At 43.9% G+C, this 24,580-nt stretch overlaps 2 long non-coding RNA genes across 2 annotated transcripts in view, besides 4 other annotated features; one reads left to right on the top strand and one right to left on the bottom strand.

Annotated features, from left to right (window-relative positions):
• The window catches only part of LOC124904040 (uncharacterized), a 58,770-nt gene extending 47,149 nt beyond the window's left edge, over positions 1-11,621 (bottom strand). Inside the window, exons 1-2 of the long non-coding RNA XR_007065867.1 lie at positions 11,166-11,621; positions 10,658-10,829 (exon numbers count right to left, since the gene is read on the bottom strand). This is a non-coding gene — a long non-coding RNA (uncharacterized LOC124904040). The remainder of the gene's footprint in view (positions 1-10,657; positions 10,830-11,165) is intronic.
• The window catches only part of LINC01476 (long intergenic non-protein coding RNA 1476), a 95,989-nt gene extending 74,564 nt beyond the window's left edge, over positions 1-21,425 (top strand). The window contains exon 3 of the long non-coding RNA NR_110813.1: positions 21,374-21,425. This is a non-coding gene — a long non-coding RNA (long intergenic non-protein coding RNA 1476). The remainder of the gene's footprint in view (positions 1-21,373) is intronic.
• Positions 9,185-9,390: a silencer, noted in NCBI's record as "fragment chr17:57520265-57520470 (GRCh37/hg19 assembly coordinates)". NCBI's record gives its function as "represses an EF-1alpha promoter that drives an FKBP-Casp9 reporter gene in an ReSE screen in HepG2 liver carcinoma cells and phorbol 12-myristate 13-acetate-treated (for megakaryocytic differentiation) K562 erythroleukemia cells {active_cell/tissue: HepG2 | K562(+PMA)}" and the evidence as "EXISTENCE:reporter gene assay evidence [ECO:0000049][PMID:32094911]".
• Positions 11,419-11,478: an enhancer, noted in NCBI's record as "active region_12508". NCBI's record gives its function as "activates an Ori minimal core promoter by ATAC-STARR-seq in GM12878 lymphoblastoid cells {active_cell/tissue: GM12878}" and the evidence as "EXISTENCE:reporter gene assay evidence [ECO:0000049][PMID:35858748]".
• Positions 11,489-11,598: an enhancer, noted in NCBI's record as "active region_12507". NCBI's record gives its function as "activates an Ori minimal core promoter by ATAC-STARR-seq in GM12878 lymphoblastoid cells {active_cell/tissue: GM12878}" and the evidence as "EXISTENCE:reporter gene assay evidence [ECO:0000049][PMID:35858748]".
• Positions 24,451-24,580: a silencer, noted in NCBI's record as "silent region_8780". NCBI's record gives its function as "represses an Ori minimal core promoter by ATAC-STARR-seq in GM12878 lymphoblastoid cells {active_cell/tissue: GM12878}" and the evidence as "EXISTENCE:reporter gene assay evidence [ECO:0000049][PMID:35858748]".

The following is a 24,580-nucleotide window of genomic DNA, read 5'->3' as shown; positions in this document are numbered from 1 at the left end:
ATCCCAGCTACTCGGGAAGCTGAGGCAGGAGAATTGCTTGAACCCGGGAGGCAGAGGTTGCAGTGAGTCGAGATCGCGCCATCGCACTCCAGCCCGGGGGACAAGAGCGAGACTTCGTCTCAAAAAAAAAAAAAAAAAAGAAAGAAACTGAATTGAATTAAAAGATGCTGACAGATCTCTTTAATTATAGATGTCAATGTGATCTTTCACAAGCACACTGAAAAATTCACACCGTGGAAAAGAACTAAAGTCCCATCCTAATTCATCAGAGCCTTCTGTTTCCTGTAACAAAGAAGAACTCACAAGATCAGGATTCCAAGGTGATGCGTTTTTCTCTGACTAAAAGTACAAATGAGTCAGATGCTGTAATTGCTGCTGGAGATAGTAGTTAGGTAGGCACGTGTGGCTTCGTGAACAGCTTCCTCCTCAATGCTTCCCCTGCAGTGATGGGAAGAGTCTCAGCTGCCTGCTTTGGCTCCCCCTGTATCCCAGCAGCTAACAGTCCCTGGCAGGTAGGAAGCTCTAGGTAAATCGGTGTGGAAGGTCATTGGGCTGTTCTTAGGGTACTGGGACTGGGAAAAGTAATTCATGTTTATTGAGCACCCACCGCGCATCAGTACTAAGCTAAGTGATGGGGGTACAAAGGTGACTTCAGGACAGCTACACCATTTGCAGCGCCCAGTGCAGAATGATGAGGGGCACCTACATTTTATTCAGATACCGTAGTATTAAAAATTTCAAGACAGTGACAGCAGGGCATTGAACAAAGTGTGGGGTCCTTCTGATCATAGGGTCTTGTGAGACTGCACAGCTTACATGATCGGAAAGTTGGCCACGTGTGAAATACATATATATATATTTTTTTTTAATTTTATTTTTTTTAGAGATGGGGTTTTGCTATGTTGCCCAGATTGGTCTCAAACTCATGGCCTCAAGCAATCCTCCCTCCTTGGCCTCTCGAAATACTGGTATTATAGATGTGAGCCACAGTGCCTGGCCTATTCTTGATTTTTATTATTACTATTATTTTTAGGGACTGGGTCTCACTCTGTCACCCAGGCTGGAGTGCAGTGACATGATCATAGCTCACTGCAGTCTCTAACTTCTGGGATCAAGCGATCCTCCCACCTCAGCCTCCCAAGTAGCTGGGACTATAGGCATGCATCACCACACTGGGCTATCCCTGGATGAATTAGAAAGTTTCTGTCATCCCAGGGGTCTCAGTTCAGTGGACAAGACAGACAAAGACATACACAATGATAATTTGGTGTGATAACTATGTGTGTTTCAGGGGAGGAGAGCAAAGACTCACTTAGACCTCACACAGACATTATAATCATTTTTTTAATCTAAAATATTTTTTATCTATTTCTTGTTTAACAGATTTACTGAAACATAATTTGCCTACCATACCATTCTATTCTTTCATTTAAAGTGTACCATTCACTTGTTTTTAGTCTATTCACAGAGTTGTGCAACCAGTACCACGATACATTTTAGAGCATTTTATCACTCCCAAAAGCAACCCCATACCCATTAGCAGTCACATCCATTTTCCTCCATTTCTCCCAGTCCCTGGAAACCACTAATCTACTTTCTGTCTCCATGGATTTGCCTGTTCTGGACATTTCACATAAATGGAATGATACAATATGCTTTTATGACTGTCTTCTTTTGCTTAGCATAATATTTTCAAGGTTCATCCATGTCATAGCATCAGTATTCTATTTCTTTTTGTTGCCAAATAATATTCTACTGCACGGATATACTGCATTTTATGTGTCCATTCACCAGCTGATGAATATTTGGGTCTTTTTCCACTTTTTGGCTATTAAAAATAATGCTGCAGCCAGGCACAATGGCTCATGTCTGTAATCCCAGCACTTTGGGAGGCTGAAACAGGAGGATTGCTTGAGTCCAAGAGTTTGAGACCAGCCAAAGCAACATAGTAAGACCCCATCTCTATAAAAAATAATTAGTTGGGCTTGGGGCCAGGTGCGGTGGCTTGCGCCTGTAATTCCAGCACTTTGGGAGGCCGAGGCGGGCAGATTACCTGAGGTTAGGGGTTCAAGACCAGCCTCACCAACATGGTAAAATCCCATCTCTACTAAAAATACAAATATTAGCCTGGTGTGGTGGTGCACACCTAGAGTCCCAGCTACTCGGGAGTCTGAGGCAGGAGAATCGCTTGAACCTGGGAGGTGGGGGTTGCAGTGAGCCGAGATTGTGCCACTGAACTCCAGCCTGGGCAACAGAGTGAGACTCTGTCTCAAAAAAAAAAAAAAAAATTTAGTTGGGCTCAGTGATGTGAGCCTGTATTCTCAGCTACTTGGGAGGCTAAGGTGCGAGGATTGCTTGAACCCAGGAGGTCAGTCAAGACTGCAATAAGCCATGATTGCACCACTGCACTCCGGCCTAGACGACAGAGCAAGACATTGTCTCAAATAAATAATAATAATGCTGCTATGAATATCCATGTCAAGTTTTTGTGTGGGCATGTTTTTATTTCTTTTTCAGGTATATATCTAGAAGTGGAAGTGCTGGGTTATACGGTATGTTAGTCCGTTTGTATTGCTATAAAGGAATACCTGTGGCTGGGTAATTATAAAGAAAAAGGGTTTATTTTGGCTCATGGTCCTGCAGGCTGTACAGGAAGCATGGTGCCGAAGCTGGTGGGGGCCTCAGGGAGCTTATGATCATGGCGGGGTGAAGGAGGAGCAGGTACGTCACACAGTGAAAGAAGGAGTAAGGGCTGGAGAGGTGCCACGGTCCCCCAAACAACCAGATCTTGAGTCAACTCATAGAGTGAGAACTCGCTCATTACTGTGAAAACAACACCAAGCCATTCATGAAGGATACGACCCCATGACCCAAACACCTCCAGTTAAGGAGGGCCTTCCAATCACCTCCCAACATTGGAGGCCACATTTCAACGTGAGATTCAGAGAGGACAAAACATCCAAACCATACCATATGGTAACTCCATGTTATTGTATTTTTTTAAATAAGAACTTCATTGAGATAGAATTCACATAAAATATACCCTCTTGAAATGTACAATTCAGTGGTTTTTAGTATATTTACAAAATTGTGCAACCATTATCATCTAATTCTAGATCATTTTCCTCACCCACCCCCCCACCAAAAAAAATCCCCACATCCCTGAGGCAGTCAACTCCCATTCTCCACTTCCTGCAGGACCTGGCAATCACTCATCTATTTTCTGTCTCTATGGATTTGCCTATTCTAGACATTTCAGAGAAATGGAGTCATAGAATATATGACCTTTTGGCCAGGCGTCGTGGCTCTCGCCTGTAATCCCAGCACTTTGGGAGGCCAAGGCTGGTGGATTACCTGAGGTCAGGAGTTCGAGACCAGCCTGGCCAACATGGCGAAACCCTGTCTCTACTAAAAATACAAAAATTAGCAGGGAGTGGTGGCACATGCCTGTAGTCCCAGCTACTCAGGAGGTTGAGGCAGGATAATCGCTTCAACCCAGGAGGCAGAGGTTGCAGTGAGCCGAGATTGTGCCATTGTACTCCAGCCTGGGTGACAGAGTGAGACTCAGTCTCAAAAAATAATAAGAAGAATTTAAAAAAATAATATGTGATCTTTTGTGTCTAGCTTCTTTCACTTAGCATAATATTTCCAAGATTCATCCATGTTGGAGCATATATATATATGTGTGTATGTATAATGTCCTTTTTATAGATGACGAAATCAGGACTCTTGGAAGCTAAATGATTTACTGGAAGTCACACAAGTGGCAAGTAGCAGTATTAAGGTGACCAACCCATCCCAGTTCACCCAGGACTATCCCAATTTTAACACTGAAAGTCCCATGTCGTGGGAAACCCCTTAGTCCTGGGCAAACCAGGACACCTGGTCACCCTAGTTGGGATTCAGTAAAAGGTGAAAGAGAACCAGTGTATTCCTAGTTAGGATTCAGAATTGGTGTGCCTGAAATGCATACCAATTGTGAATACTAACTAGGAATACTTGAAATGGCTTCGTGTGATTAAAAGGTGCAGTATTCTTCAGGTGAAACCAAACCAGCATATCCTAGAATAATAGAAAATTTGGACATTATCTCAATATTCCCTAAATCCATCTCTATGCTTCTTTCATTTATTTATCTAAGTCTCCACTTTAGTATTTCCCAAATTGTCCCCTAACTCCTACTCGACTGTTTTTTCCCACAATTTATTTACTTATTATGTTTAGTGTCTCTGTCTGTCTCTCCCCCCCGGAATATAAGCTTCACAGGACCAGAGATCTCTGTTTTGTTCATTCAAGTATCCTAATTGTCTAAAATCATGTCTGGCTTGTAGTAGGCCAGACTCAAATAATCTTTACTGAATAATGCTTATGTGATACCTACAGCTTGTGTCAGAATGTCTAGCTAGTACATCTTAATATCTACCAGAAGAATAACAGTTACAATAAAATTCCGAGGCATAGTATGAAGTTTCTATTTTGGGAAAGTTTTACACTTCCAAACAAGCTGGAATAATAGTTCAATAAACATCCTAAACCTTTTACATAGATTTACCAATCATTAACATTTCACCACATTTTCTGCTACACACACACAGAACACTTTTTTTTTTTTTGAGTCTCGCTCTGTCACCTGGGCTGGAGTGCAGTGGCATGATCTTGGCTCACTGCAACCTCTGCCTCCCAGGTTCAAGTGATTCTCCTGCCTCAGCCTCCCGAGTAGCTGGGATTACAGGATCCCACCACCATGCCTGGCTAATTTTTTGTATTTTTAGTAGAGACGGGGTTTCACTATGTTGGCCAGGCTGGTCTCGAACACCTGACCTCGTGATCCACCAGCCTTGGCCTCCCAAAGTGCTGGGATTCCAGGCATGAGCCACCGTGCCCGGCCAGCACACTTTTTTAAAGGTAGTATGCAGCTGTCGTGACACCTCACCCCTAAATATCTCATTACAGATCTCCTAGGAAAAGGTCATTCTAGTATATAACCACAATAACACTCACTACAATCAGAATAAGAAAATTAACATCACTTCAAGAAGACAATTTAATATACTATCTCCAATGATCTTAAAAATGTCTTATCTAGCAGGCTTTCCCCCTCCCATCCAGGATCTACTCAAGGTTTACATATGGTATCTGGTTATCTCCTTGGTCTCTCTTAGTCTCAGAAAATCCCCACCTTTTGGTGTTTTCCATGACATTGAACTTTTTTAGAATCCAGGCCAGTTATCTTGCAGATTTTTTCCAGATTCTGAATTTCCTTGATTGTTCCCTTATGTTTATTTTCAGGTTAAACAATTCCAGCAGAATTCTATATATGGGTGTTGTGTATCTCTTAGTGCATTATAACAGGAGGCCATCCATTGTTTTACTATTAGTGATGCCAAGTTTGATTGCTTGGTTAAGAGGGTATTCACCAGATCTCTCCATGGTAAAGATACATTTTCCCTTTGAATTTATTAATTTTTTATTTTGAGGCGGAGTCTCACTCTATTGCCCAGGCTGGAGTGCTGGAGTGCAGTGGCACGATCTCAGCTTACTGCAACCTCCACCTGCCGGGTTCAAGCAATTCTCCTGCCTCAGCCTCCCAAGTAGCTGGGATTACAGGCGTGTGCTACCACAGCTGGCTAAGTTTTGTATTTTTAGTAGAGACAGGGTTTCACCATGTTAGCAAGGCTGGTCTCGAACTCCTGACCTCAGGTGATCCGCCCACCTCAGCCTCGCAAAGTGTTGGGATTACAGGTGTGAGCCACCATGCCTGGCCTGAATTTATTAATTGATCTCTGGGGTGCAACTCTGGAACCATGTAATTATCCTATTCCCCAACATCCTTTCACTCAATGATAAAATCATTGATGATAGCCAAACTGAATCAATGATTACATTGGCAGTTACAAACTCAAATTCTATCATTTGTCTACATTTATTAGCTGGCATGCTTCTGAATCACTGTGAATTCATAAGTCTTTTACATTTCATTTAACATGTTATAATCCATTATTTTTTGATGTACAAAATACATCAAATTGTCCTAAATTTGGCAAGTGGGAGCTCTGATGTTTGAAAGATCTTTATAATCATCTAACGTATATGTCACAAAACATGATGAGTTTGGAGGACATAAAACTCTAAAATGTAGCCAGGCATGGTGGCTCACACCTGTACTCTCAGCACTTTGGTAGGCCGAGGCGGGCGGATCACATGAGGTCAGGAGTTCAAGACCAGCCTGGGCAACATGGTGAAACCCCATCTCTACTAAAAATACAAAAATTACCCTGGTATGGTGGCGGGCACCTGTAATCCCAGCTATCTGAGAGGCTGAGGAAGGAGAATCGCTTGAACTCGGGAGGTGGAGGTTGCAGTGAACCAAGATTGTGCCACTGCACTCCAGCCTGGGCAATAGAGCAAGACTCTATCTCAAAAAAATTAAAAAACTCTAAAATATAGACTATAGTCATATATATATATAATTTATTTTCATTTTCATTTATTTATTTTTTTGAGACAGGGTCTTGCTCTGTCCCCCAGGCTGGAGTGCAGTGGCACCATCTTGGCTCACTGCAGCCTCCATCTCCCGGACTCAAGCGATCCTCCCACCTCAGCCTCCCAAATAGCAGGGACTACAGGCACAAGCCACCATCCCAGGCTAATTTTGTATTTTTTGTGGAGACAGGGTTTCACTATATTGCGCAGGCTGGTCTTGAACTCCTGGGCTCAGGCAATCCTCTAGCCTTGACCTCCCAAAGTGCTGGGATTACAGGTGTGAGTCACCATGCCCGGCCCTATTTATATATTTTTAAACACATTTTGGATAGCGTGTTGGCATAAAATGTTTGCTACCTAAAACAAGTTCAAAAAAATCTGTTGACAATCGCTTTGATTTTCTTAGCTGTATTACAGAACATTTTCTTTGAACTTGATGTTGATGTATTGTAATAAGACTTCTTCCTAAGAAACTCAATGGATTTTGATCTTTATATGTTATTTGAGTTTGTAACAAGATTTTAAATAATGTTAACTTCAACTTTTTAAAGTGGCACAGGAAGAGGGGGAGTTAATACAACTGCATTGCATGCCAGATCGCTGTTGCGTTTTCATTTCCTGAGCAATGTTGATGGACTGTGAAAATAGGAGGAAACTCTAAATAGCCCCAAATAGAAAGGCTTAGGGTTAGGTTGCAGGTAATAGAAAGCCAGATAATAATGGTTTTACTCCATGGGGACTGTATTTTTTCTCATGTAATAAGAAACCCAAAGGTATTCCACTCAGGGCTAGTGATGCTGCTCAATGATATCATTAAAGCTTCCTCTTTCTCTCCACTCCACCATCCTTAGTTTGTTGTTTTTGTCCTTGCGGTCACAAAATGGTTGCCGAACCTCTAAGCTATTGCATCTGTGTTCTAGGTCAGGAAGAAGAGGGAAGGGTCATGAGGCCAAATGGAAGCATCCCTATTCAGAAATTTTTGCTGGGCGCGGTGGCTCACGCTTGTAATCCCAGCACTTTGGGAGGCTGACACGGGCGGATCACGAGGTCAGGAGATCAAGACCATCCTGGCTAACACGGTGAAACCCCATCTCTACTAAAAAATACAAAAAATTAGCCAGGCATGGTGGCGGGCGCCTGTAGTCCCAGCTACCTGGGAGGCTGAGGCAGGAAGATCGCTGGAACCCAGGAGGTGGAGGTTGCGGTCAGCCAAGATCCCACCATTGTGCTCCAGCCTGGGTGACAGAGCAAGACTCTGTCTCCAAAATAAATAAATAAATGAATAAATAAATAAATAAATAAAATGATATACTGCTTCATTTGCTCTCTTTAGAACATATTTTTGAAAGTTCCAGGTAGGAAGTTCTAGGACTCTGGAAACAATCAAGTGTACTCAGCTTCATGTTGCCTCTTCACTACAGTTTCTTTTCTTTTCTCTTTTTTTTTTTTTTTTTTTGAGACGGAGTCTCTGTGATCCAGGCTGGAGTGCAGTGGCACAATCTTAGCTCACTGCAGCCTCCATGTCTCAGGTTCAAGCAATGCTCCTGCCTCAGCCTCCTGAGTTGCTGGGACTACAGGTGCATGCCACCATGCCCAGCTTTTTTTTTTTTTTTTTTTTCAGTAGAGACGGGGTTTCACCATGTTGACCAGTCTGGTCTCGAACACCTGATCTTTGGTGAGCCGCCCTCCTTGGCCTCCCAAAGTGCTGGGATTACAGGCATGAATCACCGTGCCTGGCCGCTTTTCTTTTTTTTTTTTTTCTTTTGAGACAGGGTCTTGCTCTGCCACCCAGGCTGGAGTGCAGTGGCACAATCTTGGCTCACTGCAACCTCTGCCTCCTAGACTCAAGCGATCCTCCCACCTGAGCCTCCTGAGTAGCTGGGACTACAGGTGAGAGCCACACAACAGATTCAAGTCCAACCAAAACACAGAGAAATCGAACCACTCCACTGAAGTAACTATTGTAGTCAAAAATATGATGTTTTTGGCCAGCCATGGTGGCCCACACCTGTAAACCCACCACTATGGGAGTCTGAGGCAGAAGGATCAATTGAGCCCAGAAGTTTGAGACCGGCCTGGGCAACACGGCGAAACCCTGTCTCTACAAAAAAATACAAAATTAGCCAGACGTGGTGATGCATGCCTATAGTCCCAGCTACTTGGGAGCCTGAGGGGAGGATCGCTTGAGTCCAGGAGGTTGAGGCTGCAGTGAGCCATGATGGAGCCACTGCATTCCAGCCTGGGTGACAAGTGAGACCCTGTATCAAAAAAAAAAAAAAAAAAAAATCAGTGTTGTCACCCAAAATATAACGTAAAAACCATAGCAATATTACTCTAATTCCTTGTCTTAGTAGGCAAAATATAAACATGTAAATATTTAAAAATAAAACTGTTGCATTAGGCTGCAAGCTCTCTTAAATCTTCTACATCTGAGATTGGCAAACTATGGCTTACAGGCCAAATTTGGACTGCTGCCTGTTGTAAATAAAGTTTTATTAGAACGCAGCCATATCCATTAGTTTATGTATTGGCTAAGACTGCTTTGTGACTACAAAGGCAGATCTGAATAGTTGTGATGGAGACTGAATGGACCTCAAAGCCTAAAATACTTACTATTTGGGCTGGGCATCATAGCTCATACCTGTAATCTCAGCACTTTCGGAGGCCAAGGCAAGTGGATCACCCGAGGTCAGGAGATCAAGACCAGCCTGGCCAACATGGTGAAACCCCGTCTCTACTAAAAAGACAAAAATTAGCTGGGCGTGGTGGTGGGCACCTGTAATCCCAGCTATTCAGAAGGCTGAGGCAGGAGAATCGCTTGAACCCAGAAGGTGGAGGTTGCAGTGAGCTGAGAACGTACCACTATACTCCAGCTGGGGAGACAGACTGGGACTGTGTCTCAAAAAACAAAGAAAAAAGAAATAAAGTAAATACAATCTGACACTTTTTATAGGAAAAGTTTTATTTATCTTTTTAAATTTTTATTTTTTTATTTTTATTTTATTTTATGTATTTTTTTTTTTTGAGACAGTCTCACTCTGTTGCCCAGGCTGGAGTGCAGTGGCACAATCTCAGCTCACTGCAACCTCCGCCTCCCGGGTTCAAGTAGTTCTCCCTGCCTCAGCCTCCCGAGTAGCTGGGATTACAGGGGCCCACCACCATGCCCAGCTAATCACCTGACCTCAGGTGATTCACCTGCCTTAGCCTCCCAAAGTGCTGGGATTACAGGCGTGAGCCACGGCACCCAGCCTATTTATTTATTTATTTATTTATTTATTTATTTATTTATTTTTAAGACAGGGTCTTGCTCTGTCATCCAGGCTAGAGTGCAACGGCACCATCATGGCTCACTGCAGCCTTGACCTCCTGGGCTCAAGTAGTCTTCCTGCCTCAGCCTCCCAAGTGGCTGGAACTACAGGCATGCACCACCACATCCAGCTAATTTTTAAAATTTTTTGTAAGATGAAGATGAAGAGATGAAGTCTTCCTGAGTTGCCCAGGCTCTTCTCGAACTCCTGGGCTCAAACAATCCTCCCGCCTCAGCCTCCTAAACTGCTGGGATTACAGGTGTGAGCCACGGCACCCAGCCTATTTATCTTTACTTTGCATATATTAGGTGCTCAATAAATGTTTCATGATTTATTGAAAGAATATATCAGAGCTTTCCAGTTGGACATGAAAAATTAACAAACTAGCTCTTTATATAAATTTCTAGGCACAATAGTCAATTTTAACAAATCGTAACACAAAGCATTTTGCAGTTCCCCAGTTTACCTGGTATTTGCTTGTTGCCTTGTCATTTGTTATTCAGAAGAAGACCACATGCCTTGAAAAAATCATATTAGTGCTTTAGCGTTCCAGATTGCAAAATGCTCTGTATTCATGTTTTCAAAGAGTTGGCCTTTGAGCTAAATATGTCTCATTGATATGTTTTATTTGGCTCAGAGTACTGTTGTTTGTTTTTAAGCAACATTAGCCGCCAACATTTAAAAATAAGGTGACTTCACATAATAATCCAAGTTTCCAGCTTCTCCTGAAAATGTGAAAGATCTAGCAATGTGGGTACACGGTTTGGTTAGGCCCATAATCACCTGGGACTGGTTGTTTCTGCTTCCTTAGATGGAGTGAGTACTCTCCTGTTTACCACAGTCCCCACCACTCCCAACAGCCTTACCTCTGGCTGCCTCCATCCAAGTACGATATCTGCGTGGCCTTTCTATAGACATTTGTATTTCGGATCCTTAGTCTAGGGGAGTATCATTTGCTACAAAGGCCCCTGAACTGCAACAGTAGCTGAAAACCACACATTTGCTTCATTTTCCAGGCTTGAAAACAGATTTGTGCATCTAAAGACAAAACAGGAAAGAATGACAATGCTATTAAGATGATGACTTTCATTCCAGCTAAAAGGCAACTTCATCCTCCCACCCCCTCTTTCCTTTTTCAAACAAGCCAGAGGACTTCACCCTCTTTCCTTTCCGCTATTCAGCTCCTTCCACCCACTCCATCTCCTGGTGTTGTTTACCTCAAACCCTGGGGTGCTGTCTCTCCCCAGTTCCCTGCTTCCTTGCTGACCTTAAAAACAACCTTGGTCATTTTTGTTTTTAGAGTTTTACTGCTAATCGCTGCAGCGAAACAGACAGGAAATAACAATACGGAGGAAATTATAAAGTTTAGAAGACCTTGTAGTTCTTAGTCATAGTCCCTGATTCCCTTAAAGCGGTGGCACCTGGAAGTGCATTATTTTTAGTCTCTCCTGTTAGACCCTCATAGCCGGTGGATGGAGAACAGAAAGGAAGAGTCTACCCTGCCTTGATAGAAGAGGAACCACTAGGTGGCAGCACAGGGCGTGTCTTTTCACGTCTTTCTACAACAGGCAGGCGGATGTGAGGCACCAACTTTTCTAGGAAGGGATAACTTAGTACCATATCAGGGCAAGCATTTGGGCTGAGACCAGTGAGAGAATACAAGTCAGCCAAGAGACTCCAGTCACATTGTGCTGTCAAGTAGCCAGCGTTGGAATTCTTGTCTCTTTGCCTTTCTCCCAAGTTGGCTGTTAGTTAACCTGTTAGGGCTGCTAGGAATCTTCTAGCCCAATACCTTCATTTTACAGATAAGTAAACCAAGGCCCTGAGAGACTTGACTCTCCTTTATTTATTTATTTTTTTTTTTTTGAGACAGGGTTTTGCTCTGTCACCCAGGCTGGGGTGCAGTGGGGCAATCATAGCTCACTGCAGCCTTGAACTCCCAGGCCCAAGCACCTCAGCCTCCTAAGTAGCTGGGACTACAGGTATGCACCACCAGATCTGGCTAATTTTTTACTCTTTTTGTAGAGATGGGGAGGGGGGTGGTCTTGCCATGTTGCTCAGGCTGGTCTCAAACTCTTGGCCTCAAGAGATCTTCCCAGCTCAGCCTCCGAGGTGTTAGAATTACAGGTGTGAGCGATGGCATCTGGCCTTGACTTTCCTCTTGCTGGTGTCATGCTAGGAGTCCAGCCAAGTGTCTTTCTGGTTTCATTAGTGCCGGCTTATCCTTCTGGTCTGTCCCTCCCAGTTAAAAAACATTTATTGGCTAGGATCATGCCTGTAATTCCGACACTTCGGGAGGCTGAGGTGGGAGGATCACTTGAGCCCAGGTGTTTGAGACAAGCCTGGGTAACATAGGGACACCCTGTCTCTATTTAAAAAGAAAATAGAAAAACGTTTATTGAAGTCTATTTAGTATGGTTAAAGGCTAATTTTCCTAGCTTCAGAGGTGAAACTAAGAGAGAATTCTTTGCCTCTGATGAAGTGGGACTTTCCACAGGAAACAGAGACTTACCAGGCACAGGAAAATAAAAGCTTTATGTCTGCTTCCAGCTACCTAACCCACCTGGGGGAAAAGCGAAGACCCCTCGTCCAGAAGGGGGTGTTACAGCTGTCAGCACTCTATGCGGGCTAGACTGTTTTGCCTTTTTATGGGATCAGCTGGTATAATTGTGGCGCTTATCAAGAGAATCCTAGGATTGCAGGGCTAGGCCATGCATACCCAAAATAACTCACCAATCTTCTCAAATTACATTAGTAAAACTATCTGTATTCCTAGATTTAAACACAAATTCAAACAACTGCACTATAACAAAAGCATGTCCTCAGGCTGCAGTTAATTTAGGGGGCAGTCTAGTGATCAAAGAGGAAACGCCTTATTGCAAGGTAGAATTTGCTTGAAGGGCTTGGGCCTCAGAAGGGAATTTTCCTAGAATACTACCAAAAGTCTTGCTTGTTTATGTTGAAGCACTATTCTGGGAATTACAAAGCCTTGCCACTCAAAAGTGTGGTCCTCCAACCAATAGCCGCACTTAGGTTGGCAATGCAGAATCTAGCCAGGCATGGTGATAGACGCCTATAGTCTCAGCTCCTTTGAGAAGCTGAGGTGGGAGGGTTGCTTGAGCCCAGGAGTTTGAGATTGCAGTGAGCTGTGACTGCACCACTGCACTCCAGCCTGGGCAACAGAGCAAAACTCCATTTAGAAAAAAAAAAAAAAAAAAGGAAAGAAAGAAAGCGAAGGAAGGAAGGAAAGAAAAGGAAGAAAGAAAGAGAGAGAAGAAACAAAGACAAAGAAATGCAGGATCTCAGGCCCAACCCATTCCTACTAAATCAGCTCTGCATTTTAGTAAGAAGCATTTAGCATTAATAAATATTTAACAGGTAACATTAATAAGCATATAATATGTAACAATAATAAGCATTTAATGTGCTTGTTAAAGTTTAAGAAGCACTGCTTTAGGATATCCAAGAGAAAAGGCCAAGAACAACAGCAACCAAACAAACCACACCCTTTCTCCTCCCAAATAGTCCCCACCTCAAGGAGCTTGTAGACTGGTTTAGGAACACAAACCACACATATGGAAAGTGGCATGAAAATGATCATTAAGAAAGATGCCGTTAATGCCGTGTGGGCTCCCCTAGGACATGTAGGACACACACATTTGGAGAGGGTGCATTTAAAAGAATGATTACAGTTAAGAGGCCAGGTGTGGTGACTCAGGCCTGTAATCTCAGCACTTTGAGAGGCGGAGGCAGGCAGATCACTTGAGGCCAGGAGTTTGAGACCAGCCTGATTAACATGGTGAAAACTCATCTCTACTAAAAATACAAAAATTAACCAGGCATGGTGGTGTGCACCTGTAATCTCAGCTACTCTGGAGGCTGAGGCAGGACAATTGCTTGAACCCAGGAGGCGAAGGTTGCAGTGAGCCCAGATCGGGCCAGTGCACTCCAGCCTAGATGACAGAGTGAGATTCTGTCTTAAAAAAGAAAAAAAAAAAAAAAGGATGATTACAGTTAAGAGGGGTCAGTCTGGGCAGTCTTCCTGCAGGTGGTGAGATTCTCCTTGGCTCTTGAATAAGGTGATAAGCATGTATTAATGGAGAAGGAAAGACAGAGAAGGGCATTGCAAGTGGACGGATCAGGACAAATCTGGGAGGAGGCAAATTGTAAATTCTAGACAGTGGCCTACAAATACTTAATTCTTTTATGCATATTCCCAGACTTTCACTAGATCCTTGCAGCTACACACGTCACACATTAACGTGGCTGCACACACGTTATTTAGTCACGTTACATTTTAGTCAGTGGTTCTCATGGAACTTCTTCAGATGTGTTCACCCACATACAGACTTTTTTCTTTGGATTCGTACAGGCAGGTCTTCACCTCTTCCTCTCTCGTGTCTTCAGCTGTGTTTTCTAGCTCTTCTTTCTAATCCGGTGGAAGGAAATCCCTTACATGTGCATTCTCCTGAATTGCTAGAGCCTTTCTTAACAGCGGTGCAAATCTTCTCTGTAAAGCTCTTAATCAGATCTCATAAACGATTAGCCCAAATGCGTTTTCAGTTTCTAAAGTTAATCATCCTTGAGGGCCAGGAGTTAACATGAAAATGGGGAACTTGCGGTTGTTCCCCTGTCTTAACATCCAGATTTAGTTTGCAAAGCAAAAGTCATTCCACAGAAGATGAAATCAAGAGTCTCAGCGTGTATTTTCCAAATGAGGTGGTGTGATTGTATCCTTCTCATCCTTGCACATATGTGGCAACCAAAAGAGTTGTCCCAGAGGTGAAATAGTGGGATGAAGTGAACAGTGTCAGAGCAGCCCACTGGGCCCCTGAGGGAAAGCACACAAAGGGAGCTGACCCCACAGCTTCCTGAAGTAACACCAGGAAATGAGACTCCAGATCATTTGGGGGGACATAATACCCTTTACATAGTTCTTTAGAAGAGTTCTCCCAGGCTGGGCACGGTGGCTCATGCCTGTAATCCCAGCACCTTTGGAGGCTGAGGCGAGAGGATTGCATGAGCCCAGTTCAACACCAACCTGGGCAACACAGGGGGACCCTGTCTCTACAGTTTTGTTAATTAGCCGGTCATGTTGACACACGGCTGTGGTCCTAATTACTCAGTAGGCTGAGGCAGGAGAATCGCTTGAGCCCGGAAGACTGAGGCTGCAGTAATGCGGTGAGCCAAGATCATGCTACCTGGGTGACAGAGCAAGCCCCTGTCTCAAAACAAAACAAAAGGAATAGTTCACCCATAAGCTGAGAGCCTCTTCCCTTGTCTGAGCCTTGCTGTGGGTTGCTGAAATCAGCATGGAGCACTGGGTCTGTTGGGGTGGTGTATGCTCATCGGCTTCAGGGCTGCAGATTCCTTTGCCCAGCAACGCCCTGGCAAGGACAGTGTTGACTGCCCAACAGCAGCCAAGTGTTCATCTCTGTCAGGGCCTATCGGCAAGCAGCTTGTCACCAGCTGCCCAGCACACCCGGAAAAAATGGCTCCTATGTTCACACAGATAATTTGGGTTGATAGGAACAGCATCAGGGGAAGACAATGGTGTCACCAAATCAATACTTGTGCTTCACAAATTAAAGTCTTGGCTCTGGCCCTGAGTTTATATTCAGGAGGGCACGACTCCCGGACAGAGACTAACTGCAACAGACATTTTGCTCCCAACAACAGCAAATTCTCTTTTCTTCGTAAGGAGTCAACTAGAGACTTGATATATTAAAGAAAATCCATTGAGGCTCATGCCCATAATCCCAGCACTTTGGGAGGCTGAGGTGGGTGGATCGCTTGAGCTCAGGACTTTGAGACCAGCTTAGGCAACATGGTGAAACCCTGTCTCTGCTTAAAAAAATATATATACATATATATATATAGAGAGAGAGAGAGAGAGACAGATAGACAGACAGACAGACAGAGAAAATCCATTGAGAGCATCCCTTAACTGTGAATTTATGTTTGTTGTGGCATCTCTCTAGAAAATAATGTTGGTAAGCTAGAAGAGGGGACCTGCATGCTGGCATAAATGAAGCTTTCTACACTCATGTTTGTAGCAGCATTATTCACAATAGCCAAAAGTTGGGAGCCAATCAAGTGTCCATTGATGGATGAATGGTAAACAAAATATGGTAGATACATACAGCAAAATATTCAACTTCAAAAGGAAGGAAATGTCAACATATGCTACAACATGGATGAAACTTGACAACCTTATGCTAAGTGAAATAAGACAGTCACAGAAAAGCAAGTACAGTATGATTCCACTTCAATGCGCTACCTAGAGTAGTCAAGTTCATAGAGACAAAAAATAGAATGGTGGGCCAGGCGCGGTGGCTCACACCTGTAACCCCAGCACTTTGGGAGGCTGAGGTGGGCAGATCATGAGGTCAGGAGATGGAGACCATCCTGGCTAACATGGTGAAACCCCATCTCTACTAAAAATACAAAAAAATTAGCTGGGCGTGGTGGCGCACACCTATAGTCCCAGCTACTTGGGAGGCTGAGGCAGGAGAATGGCGTGAACCCGGGAGGAGGAGCTTGCAGCAAGCCAAGATCGCGCCACTGCACTCCAGCTTGGGTGACAGAGTGAGACTCCGTCTCAAAAAAAAAAAAAAAAAAAAAGTCGAATGGTTGTTGCCAGGGTCTGGAGGTAGGGGGTGATGGGGAGTTATTGTTTAACGGGTACAGAGTTTCCGTTTGGGAAGATGAAAACACTAGAGGTGATGTAGTGATGAATGCACAACAGTGTGAATGTCTTTAATGCCACTGAACTGCACGCTTAAAAATGGTTAAAATGGTAAATGTATGTTATGCACATTTTGCCACAATAGGAAAAAAAAAAAAGAACGAATCTTTTACTCATCAGCCAGAGAGCAAGTCCTGTATTTAAATGGATCACAACATCGTGGGCTCTGTGGAGATTTCTTAGAAATGTTCAGTAGAGTAGAAAGGGTTTAGCCCCTGATTGAGTTTGCTTTTGGACATAAATTAGTAATCATAGAGGCTGACAAACTGATTACTCATAAATCAGTCACGCAAAACAAAACACAGATTGCAACACAGTACCCTAAGTTTTACCAACTAGGCAGTTTTCCTATCTTGTAGATCAGGACTTTTCAGACTTGAATGTGCATGGGAATCACCCAGGCATCTTGTTTAAAATGCAGATTTGGATTCAGTATGTTTGGGGTGGAGCTTCAGATTTCTGTCTGTACAACCAGTTCCCAGGGGATGCTGATTCTATTGGTCCAGGGACCCAGTTTCAAGTAGCAAGAGTGTAGACCTCTCTGTAATTAAGATTCCTTTCTTTGCTCATTTGGCAAGAAAAAAAAGGTTCCTGTCCACACCTTGGAGGTAACAGCCTCCTCATGAAAATCGAACACAGGCATCTCCAGATTTAGATGGAAGAAAAGTCTGTGGGAGATAGGAATTATTCCTGGGATCCTCTCATTTTGCTACTTACTGCCATCAAAAGTCAGGTTTCAGGGATCAACTCCATCTTTTTCTCCACCCAACCATGGACATACTGTAAATAAATCCCTTGCACTTATTCTCTTTGGGTATAGACCAGATCAGCTGCAATTTCAGAAAGAAAGAGAGAGAGAGAGAGGGAGAGAGAGAGAGGGAGGGAGGGAGGGGAGGAAGGATCAGCTGCAATTTCAGAAAGAAAGGAAGAAAGAAAAAGAAAGGGGGAGAGAGAGAAAAAAAGAAAAAGAAAGGAAGGAAGGAAAAGAGAGAGAGAGAATGGGAAATAAGAAAAATATGAGAAGCAAACGACTTCCTTTGAAGTGCTCTAACATAATCATTCAGCATCTCCTCATTGCTTTTAGGCTCAAGCTCCGAATCCTTAGAAGGGCTTCTGGGGTCTGATGAGGTCCCTGCCCACCCAGCTCATCTCTCACTCTTCCCCTGCTTGTACTCTGTGTTCAGCCATATTGAATTCTTTTCTTTTCTTTTTTTTTTTTTTTTTTTTTTACAGTTGCTGTCTCCTTGATCTGGAAGCTTGTCCCTCCTTGTAACACCTGGCAGGCATTGTCTCTTCTGGAAAGACTTTACGCCACTGCCCTCTTTTGCTGCCCTTTGAGTTGGGTTGTCTTTCTCTGTCTTCATTTGCACACTGTGCTTACCTCTGGCACAGCACTTCTCAGTATATTTCCATTGTATTCCCCTGTCTATGTCCCCCCTGAACTGTGAGCTCCTTGAGGGATGGAAAGATGTCAAAAGGCTGACAAACTCAGTGTCTCGAACATATGAGGTGCTCAACGTTGAAAGAATGGGCAAATGAAAAAGAACTGTAACATTGTGTGACATTTGAAGAAGACATTGCTGGCCCGGCGCAGTGGCTCACGCCTGTAATCCCAGCACTTTGGGAGGCTGAGGCAGGTGGATCACTTGAGGTCAGGAGTTTGAGACTAGCCTGGCCAACATAGCAAAAACCCGTGTCTACTAAAAATACAGAAAATTATTGCTTGAACCTGGGAGGCAGAGGTTGCAGTGAGCCAAGGTCACTGCACTCCAGTCTGGGCAACAGAATGGAAGGAGTAAGAAAGAGGAGGAGGAGGAGGAGGAGGAAGGAGAAGAAGAAGAAGGAGGAGAGGGGAAAGGAGGAGGGAGGGGGGAGGCGGAGGGGAGAAAGGGGAGGAAGAAATTGCTTAGTTCCTAAAACACCATGATGTTGCCCTCAGAATGACTTTTGTAAAGGCCAAACACATTGACACCAATTTCTGTGTTCCAGCAACTGCAACTGAACTCCTCTGTTCTGATAAATTATATTGCCCCAGCTTCCTCATTTTATATTGCTGACCATGTATCTTCTCCTGAAGACCAAATACGAAGAAATACACAAGGTGGTAGTAATAATTTTTAATGGAATTTGAGGAAAGCTAGAATCTCTTTTAATATTGTACTGTTTTTGGCTGGATGCCGTGGCTCAAGCCTGTAATCCCAGCACTTCGGGAGGCCGAGGCGGGTGGCTCACAAGGTCAGAGTTCAAGACCAGCGTGGCCAAGATGGTGAAACCCCATCTCTACTAAAAGTACAAAAATTACAGCACGCCTGTAATCCCAGCTACTTGGGAGGCTGAGGCAGGAGAATCACTTGAACCTGCGGGGCAGAGGTTGCAGTGAGCCAAGATTGTGCCACTGCACTCCAGCCTGGGTGACAGAGCGAGACTCCATCTTGAAAAAAAAATTTTTAAAAATTAAAAATATATATATATATATAGTACTGTTTTTATTGCTAATTTGACCTTTAAATAACACTTTAAAATTGCAGTGTTTCCAGATTTGAGGTCTCTGGGCATCTAGCAGTTACTAGCAGTTTCCAAATTGGTACATCTATATGTCTATCTATAGATCCTGGCACAGATACTGCCTGCTTTATACAAAGTACTGTGCCAGGAGTTCCTACTGTCACAGGCTTTGCTCTTTAATGGGGAAATGTCACAAATGCTACACTAGAATTCTCAGCAGCTCTGACCTACTTGACTGCCTCCTCTTCTTGTCTCCTATGCCTTCTAAGATGTTGGTCTCTGCCAGTTCTCCTAGCTGTTCTCTGGACACCTCTTTTTACTTTCCTTTTCTGGCTCCTCTTTGATCAATTCATTTATGTTAGTGCTCTATAGGGTCTGTGCTGGTGTCTCTTATCTTCTCACTTTCCAGCTGTACTTGGTGGGTGTGTGCCCTTTATGTCCATAGCCTTGGCACCTATTTATTCCCAGCTCAATCACTAGCCTCCAGCTCTCTCATTAACTCTAGGCAGAGATTTCCAACTGCCAGTGGGGCTTGTCCACTTGAATGTCGTGCAGGCATCTTAAACACAGCATGTCATTATCCTGTCTTTATCTTTCCTCCTGTTCTTCTATTCCCTACTGTGGTTAATGGCACCTTTGTTTCCTCAGCTGCATGGACTAGTGACTTCTAAATCATTCTTTTATTTATTTATTTATATTTATTTATTTGAGACAGGGTCTCACTCTGCCACCCAGGCTAGAGTGCAGTGGCTTGGTCATTGTGCACCGCAGCATCAATGTCCTGGGCTCAGGTAATCCTCCCACCTCAGCCTCCTGTGTAGCTGGGACTCCAGGCACGTGCCACTAAGCCTGGCTACTTTTTTGCTTTTTTTTTTTTTTTTTGTAGAAATGAGGTTTAAGCCATGTTTCCCAGGTTGGTCTTGAACTCCTGGGCTCAAAGGACCCACCCACCACAGCCTCCCAAAGTGTTAGGATTATAGGTGTGAGCCACCACACCCAGCTCCAAGTCATTCTTAATGCCTTCTTTCCCTACATAATCTTCCTTCCAAACAATAACCAAGCTTTGTTGATTTAATCTCTCAGTTCTTTCTTGAACCCATTCTGTTCCCTCTTTTTCAGTCATCAAGATGTTATCACTTCTCACCTAGATTAGTGAAATAGCGTTCCTGTTGATTTCTTGGCCTCCAGTCCTTCCCCACTACTACTCTTCCTTCAGACTGCTTCCAGAACGTCTTTCTAAAGCCCAAACTTGATCTTCTCAATCATTTACTTAAAATTCTTCAACAAATCCTTCTGTCTACACAGTTCAAAGCCCATAGCAAGATCTATGAAGCTCTGTGTGACTTACCTTTTAGCCCACTTATGTTTTCAGCCTCCTCTGCTGACACTCTCCCCACATACCCAAAGATCCCCACATACCAAACCACTCAGCATTTCCTCACACACCATTCTGGCTCCTCTTTCAGGGGCTTTCCAGCTACTTTGGAAATCCAGCCTAGGAAACTCCTGTTATTGTCAAGATCCACTCAAATATCACTTCTTTTGTGAAGACTTCACCTCCAAGCACTCAGGGCATATTTCTATTATAGCACCTCTCATGTTAGATAATAATTTTTTTTTTTCTTTTAGAGACCAGGTCTTGCTCTGTCAGGCTAGAATGCAGTGGCACAATCATAGCGTACCATGACTTCCAACTCCTGTCCTCAAGTAATCCTCCCTCCTTGACCTCCCAAAGTGCTGGAATTACATGTGGAAGGCACTGTGCTCAGGCTATAATTATGTTTTTTATGCCTCCTCCCCTCCTAGACTGAGCTACAGAAACCATGTCTCACTCTATTTTGTATCCTGGCCCTTGACACAATATTTAGCACATATCAAGCCTTGCATCAGTGTTCAAGGAGTAACCAAATAATTGAATGAATAAATAACCGACTGTGATACAAGTTAGAATAAGAGCAGTAGGCAAGGTGCAAATAAACTGCTGCTGTAGGGCGTTCAGAGGACTGGGTCACATTTCTTTGAGCAACCAAAAAAGACTTTGTATAATTGATTGCCATCTCTCCACTTAGCCCTATATATTTGTTTATGACTTAACACAAAGTCGGTTCATTCCATCCCAGATATAGCCCACTTCTTCTCCAGCCTCCACCCAAATACTGAAACTAGTTTTCTCTTTTCTGTCTCCTGTGTAATAGTAGATCTTTAGTTCATTTTAGCTTTGCATATAATTTTTATAATCATTTACCTATTTATAAAGGGAGGTCCCTTCTTTATTCTAAAAAGGATTTAAGTGCCTGCCTCATAAACTGATTGTGTGTTTTTATTATAGCTTCTTGTATAGAAGATACCTAAAAAGTGTTTGCTGAATGAAGAAATAAAGGATTGCTCAGGCACCACTGGCACTTTAAGTTGTTCAGCAAGTACTCGTGCCTCTTAAGAACTGGCCAAGGGCCGGGCGTGGTGGTTCATGCCTGTAATCCCAGCATTTTGGGACGCCGAGGCGGGCAGATCACGAAGTCAGGAGTTCGAGACCAGCGTGGCCAACGTGGTGAAACCCCATCTCTACTAAAAATACAAAAACTTAGCCGGGTGTGGTGGCCTGCGCCTGTAGTCCCAGCTACTCGGGAGGCTGAGGCACAAGAATTGCTTGAACCCACGAGGAGGAGCTTGCAGTAAGCCGAGATCGCGCCATTGCACTCCAGCCTGGGCAACAGGGCAAGACTCTGTCCTGAAAGAAAAAAAAAAAAAAAAAAAAAAAGAACTGGCCGAGGTCTTAGCTGGAGCACTCTCTCTACCCTGCATGTTTGACTGCATTTCTGTCCATTTTCAATCCGTTTTGGTTATACGTTTTTTCACACAGGTCTGTTGAACTTAGAACACCGAAGGCCTGTGTATTTTCATGGCTCACAGCTCATGTTGTGTTGACCTGCCCCACTGTGGTTAATGTTTAGCCCCTAAACCACCAGCTGAATGTCCTTAAATCTGAAAGAATAATGAACACACGCCAACAGATAGCTTAGGTTTATTTGGTGACTTGCGCCACATACTTTGCGAATATCATCTCAGTCATCCTTTTAGCATCTCTCTCAGGCACATACTCTCCTCTGTGGTGGCTCATGCCGGTAATCCCAGCCCTTTGGGAGGCCGAGGCGGGCAGATCACTTGAGGCAAGGAGTTCGAGACCAGCCTGGCCAACACGGTGAAACCCCATCTCTACTAAAAATACAAAAATTAGCCGGCTATGGTGGCATGCGCCTGTAATCCCAGCTGCTCGAGAGGCTGAGGCAGGAGAATCATTTGAACCCAGGAGGCAGAGGTTGCAGTGAGCCTAGACTGCACCATTGCACTTCAGCCTGGGTGAGACCCCATCTCAAATCAATCAATCAATCAATCAATCAATCAATCAATAAGGGAAAAGCTATCACACAGCAGAATACAGTCCAAGGGTAACTACTGAAGGGCCAGATCAAGGAGCAAAGTCTATCATGTATCAACCTTTACAGTGTCCCCAAGGGTCAGCTGTGTATAGGGGCCCACACAGAATTTGGAATCCAAATACATCTCTGGATCCCCAGGCCTGTGTTTGACTCGCCAGGTAGTAATGAGATGTCTCCATTTTCTGCAGGCTGAATGATTCCCTCAGAGCAGAAGTATAAGCATATTTATTGTTTTTCCTTCTATCATAAACAGTTATTAGTTGTGGCCCTTTCTCCCTTCCAAATAGGTGCCCAAATTTCTGGAAGTGGAAAGGGCCCAACTTTCCCATATCAGGGGGTGGGCCCCACTGGGCGTGAGCCAATCAGTGTCTTCTGTCCTGTGAGCTCCCGATTTATGCTGGTCTATAACCTGAGATGGCCTTCTCAGGATGGACCTCCAGGGATTGCTGGAACTTGGACTCTTGTCAGCCTGGTAAATGGTATGTCTTAGATCTGCTGCAGCCGTCGTGGAAAACTTGAAGCTGCCAGGAGAGAGGGGTTCCAACATGTGGTGGCTAAAGAATGAATCCAACTCAAAGGAAGCAGAGCCAAGAAATGGATCCATGCTGTTTGAATCTTGGATCAAATTGTGCCTGGATCTCCAGTGAGACAATAAATTCCTGTATTACTCAAGCCTATTTGAGATTGTTTTCTTTCACTTGAAACATTAAACTTTTAAATTGATACACCCTAGTTAAATTATAAACTGTGTGACAGCAGGGACTGTGTCTCTCTCTTTTTTTTCTTTCTTTTTTTTTTGTTTTGAAACAGAGTTTCACTACCGTCACCCAGGCTGGAGTGCAGTGGTGTGATCTTGGCTTACTGCAACCTCCGCCTCCTGGGTTCAAGTGATTCTTGTGCCTCGGCCTCCCAAGTAGCTGGGACCACAGGTGTCTGCCACCATGCCTGGCTAATTTTTTGTATTTTTGGTAGAGATGGGGTTTCACCATGTTGGCTAGGCTGGTCTCAAACTCCTGACCTCAAATGACCAACCAACTTGGCCTCCCAACATGCTGGGATTACAGGCGTGAGCCATTGCGCCCGGCCCAAGACTGTTTCTCTTGATCACTTATGTGTCCCCTGGCACGTGGTAAGGATTCAATAAATAACTTTTGAATGGATGCATTTTAGCTGCAAGGAACACCCATAAACTCTCTTTTACTCAGCTGACAGCTAAGGAATCTGGTGTTATATAAGAAAGTGATGATGTGGATCTATAAGTTGGACCTTACCCCAACACTGGGATTTTTCTAATCACAGGAAATCTTCCAGTAAATATGTTGGGGTCTTTGAGGAGGCCCCAAAATAGCAGTCTGCTCCCTTCTCTGTGAATTTTGAATTGAATCAGAAGATAGCAGCAAGCTAGATGAGGACCAAAAATAACCTTTTCTACTGATAAAGCTGATATTAGAGAACGTGGCTTATATCATCAGACAATCGAGCTTCCCGATACTCAACTTCAGAGTTAGGCAGACTTGGCGGCTCGATGACAGGCAGCTGAGCTGGAATGGGCCTACTCTTCCCACCCCACGGGAGCGAAGCTTGCTCCCAAGAAGAAAAGAGAGGATGATATAAGGCACAGTTCCTCCTTCCAAACTCACCAGTCATATTAAACCACTCCTCCTTCTCAGGGAAGAGGGGGCGGGTGGAGAGAAGCAAGGAGTGTTTGGACTCCTTTCAGAAGAAAGAAAACATCAGGAGTGGAAAGACCCAGTCTCCCTCACACACACACGTGTGATTTGGTCAGGTCATTGATTCTACTTTGTTTTCAATCAAAATGGGTGATATTTCCAAGTGGTGGGATACGTTTGCTGTCTAAAATATAGAATAGCTCACATAGAATAGCTCCATAGAATAACTCACACATCACAATATCAAGCTCCCCAAGGAGTTAGAGATCTTCATTTAAAATTATGCAAAATTCAAAAGAAGAAACAAGAATTCACGACGAAATTACACAATCAGGGGCACTAGGTGGCAATAAGCCTTTTGCTCTCTCACCATGCCCATCAAAGGCATTTCAAGAGCACTGAAAGCTCACACTCTTCCCACGCCGACTG

This window comes from Homo sapiens, chromosome 17 (genome assembly GCF_000001405.40).
Source record: "Homo sapiens chromosome 17, GRCh38.p14 Primary Assembly".
In the NCBI taxonomy this organism is placed as follows: Eukaryota; Metazoa; Chordata; class Mammalia; order Primates; family Hominidae; genus Homo; species Homo sapiens.
This window is presented reverse-complemented; position numbering and strand designations above follow the sequence as displayed.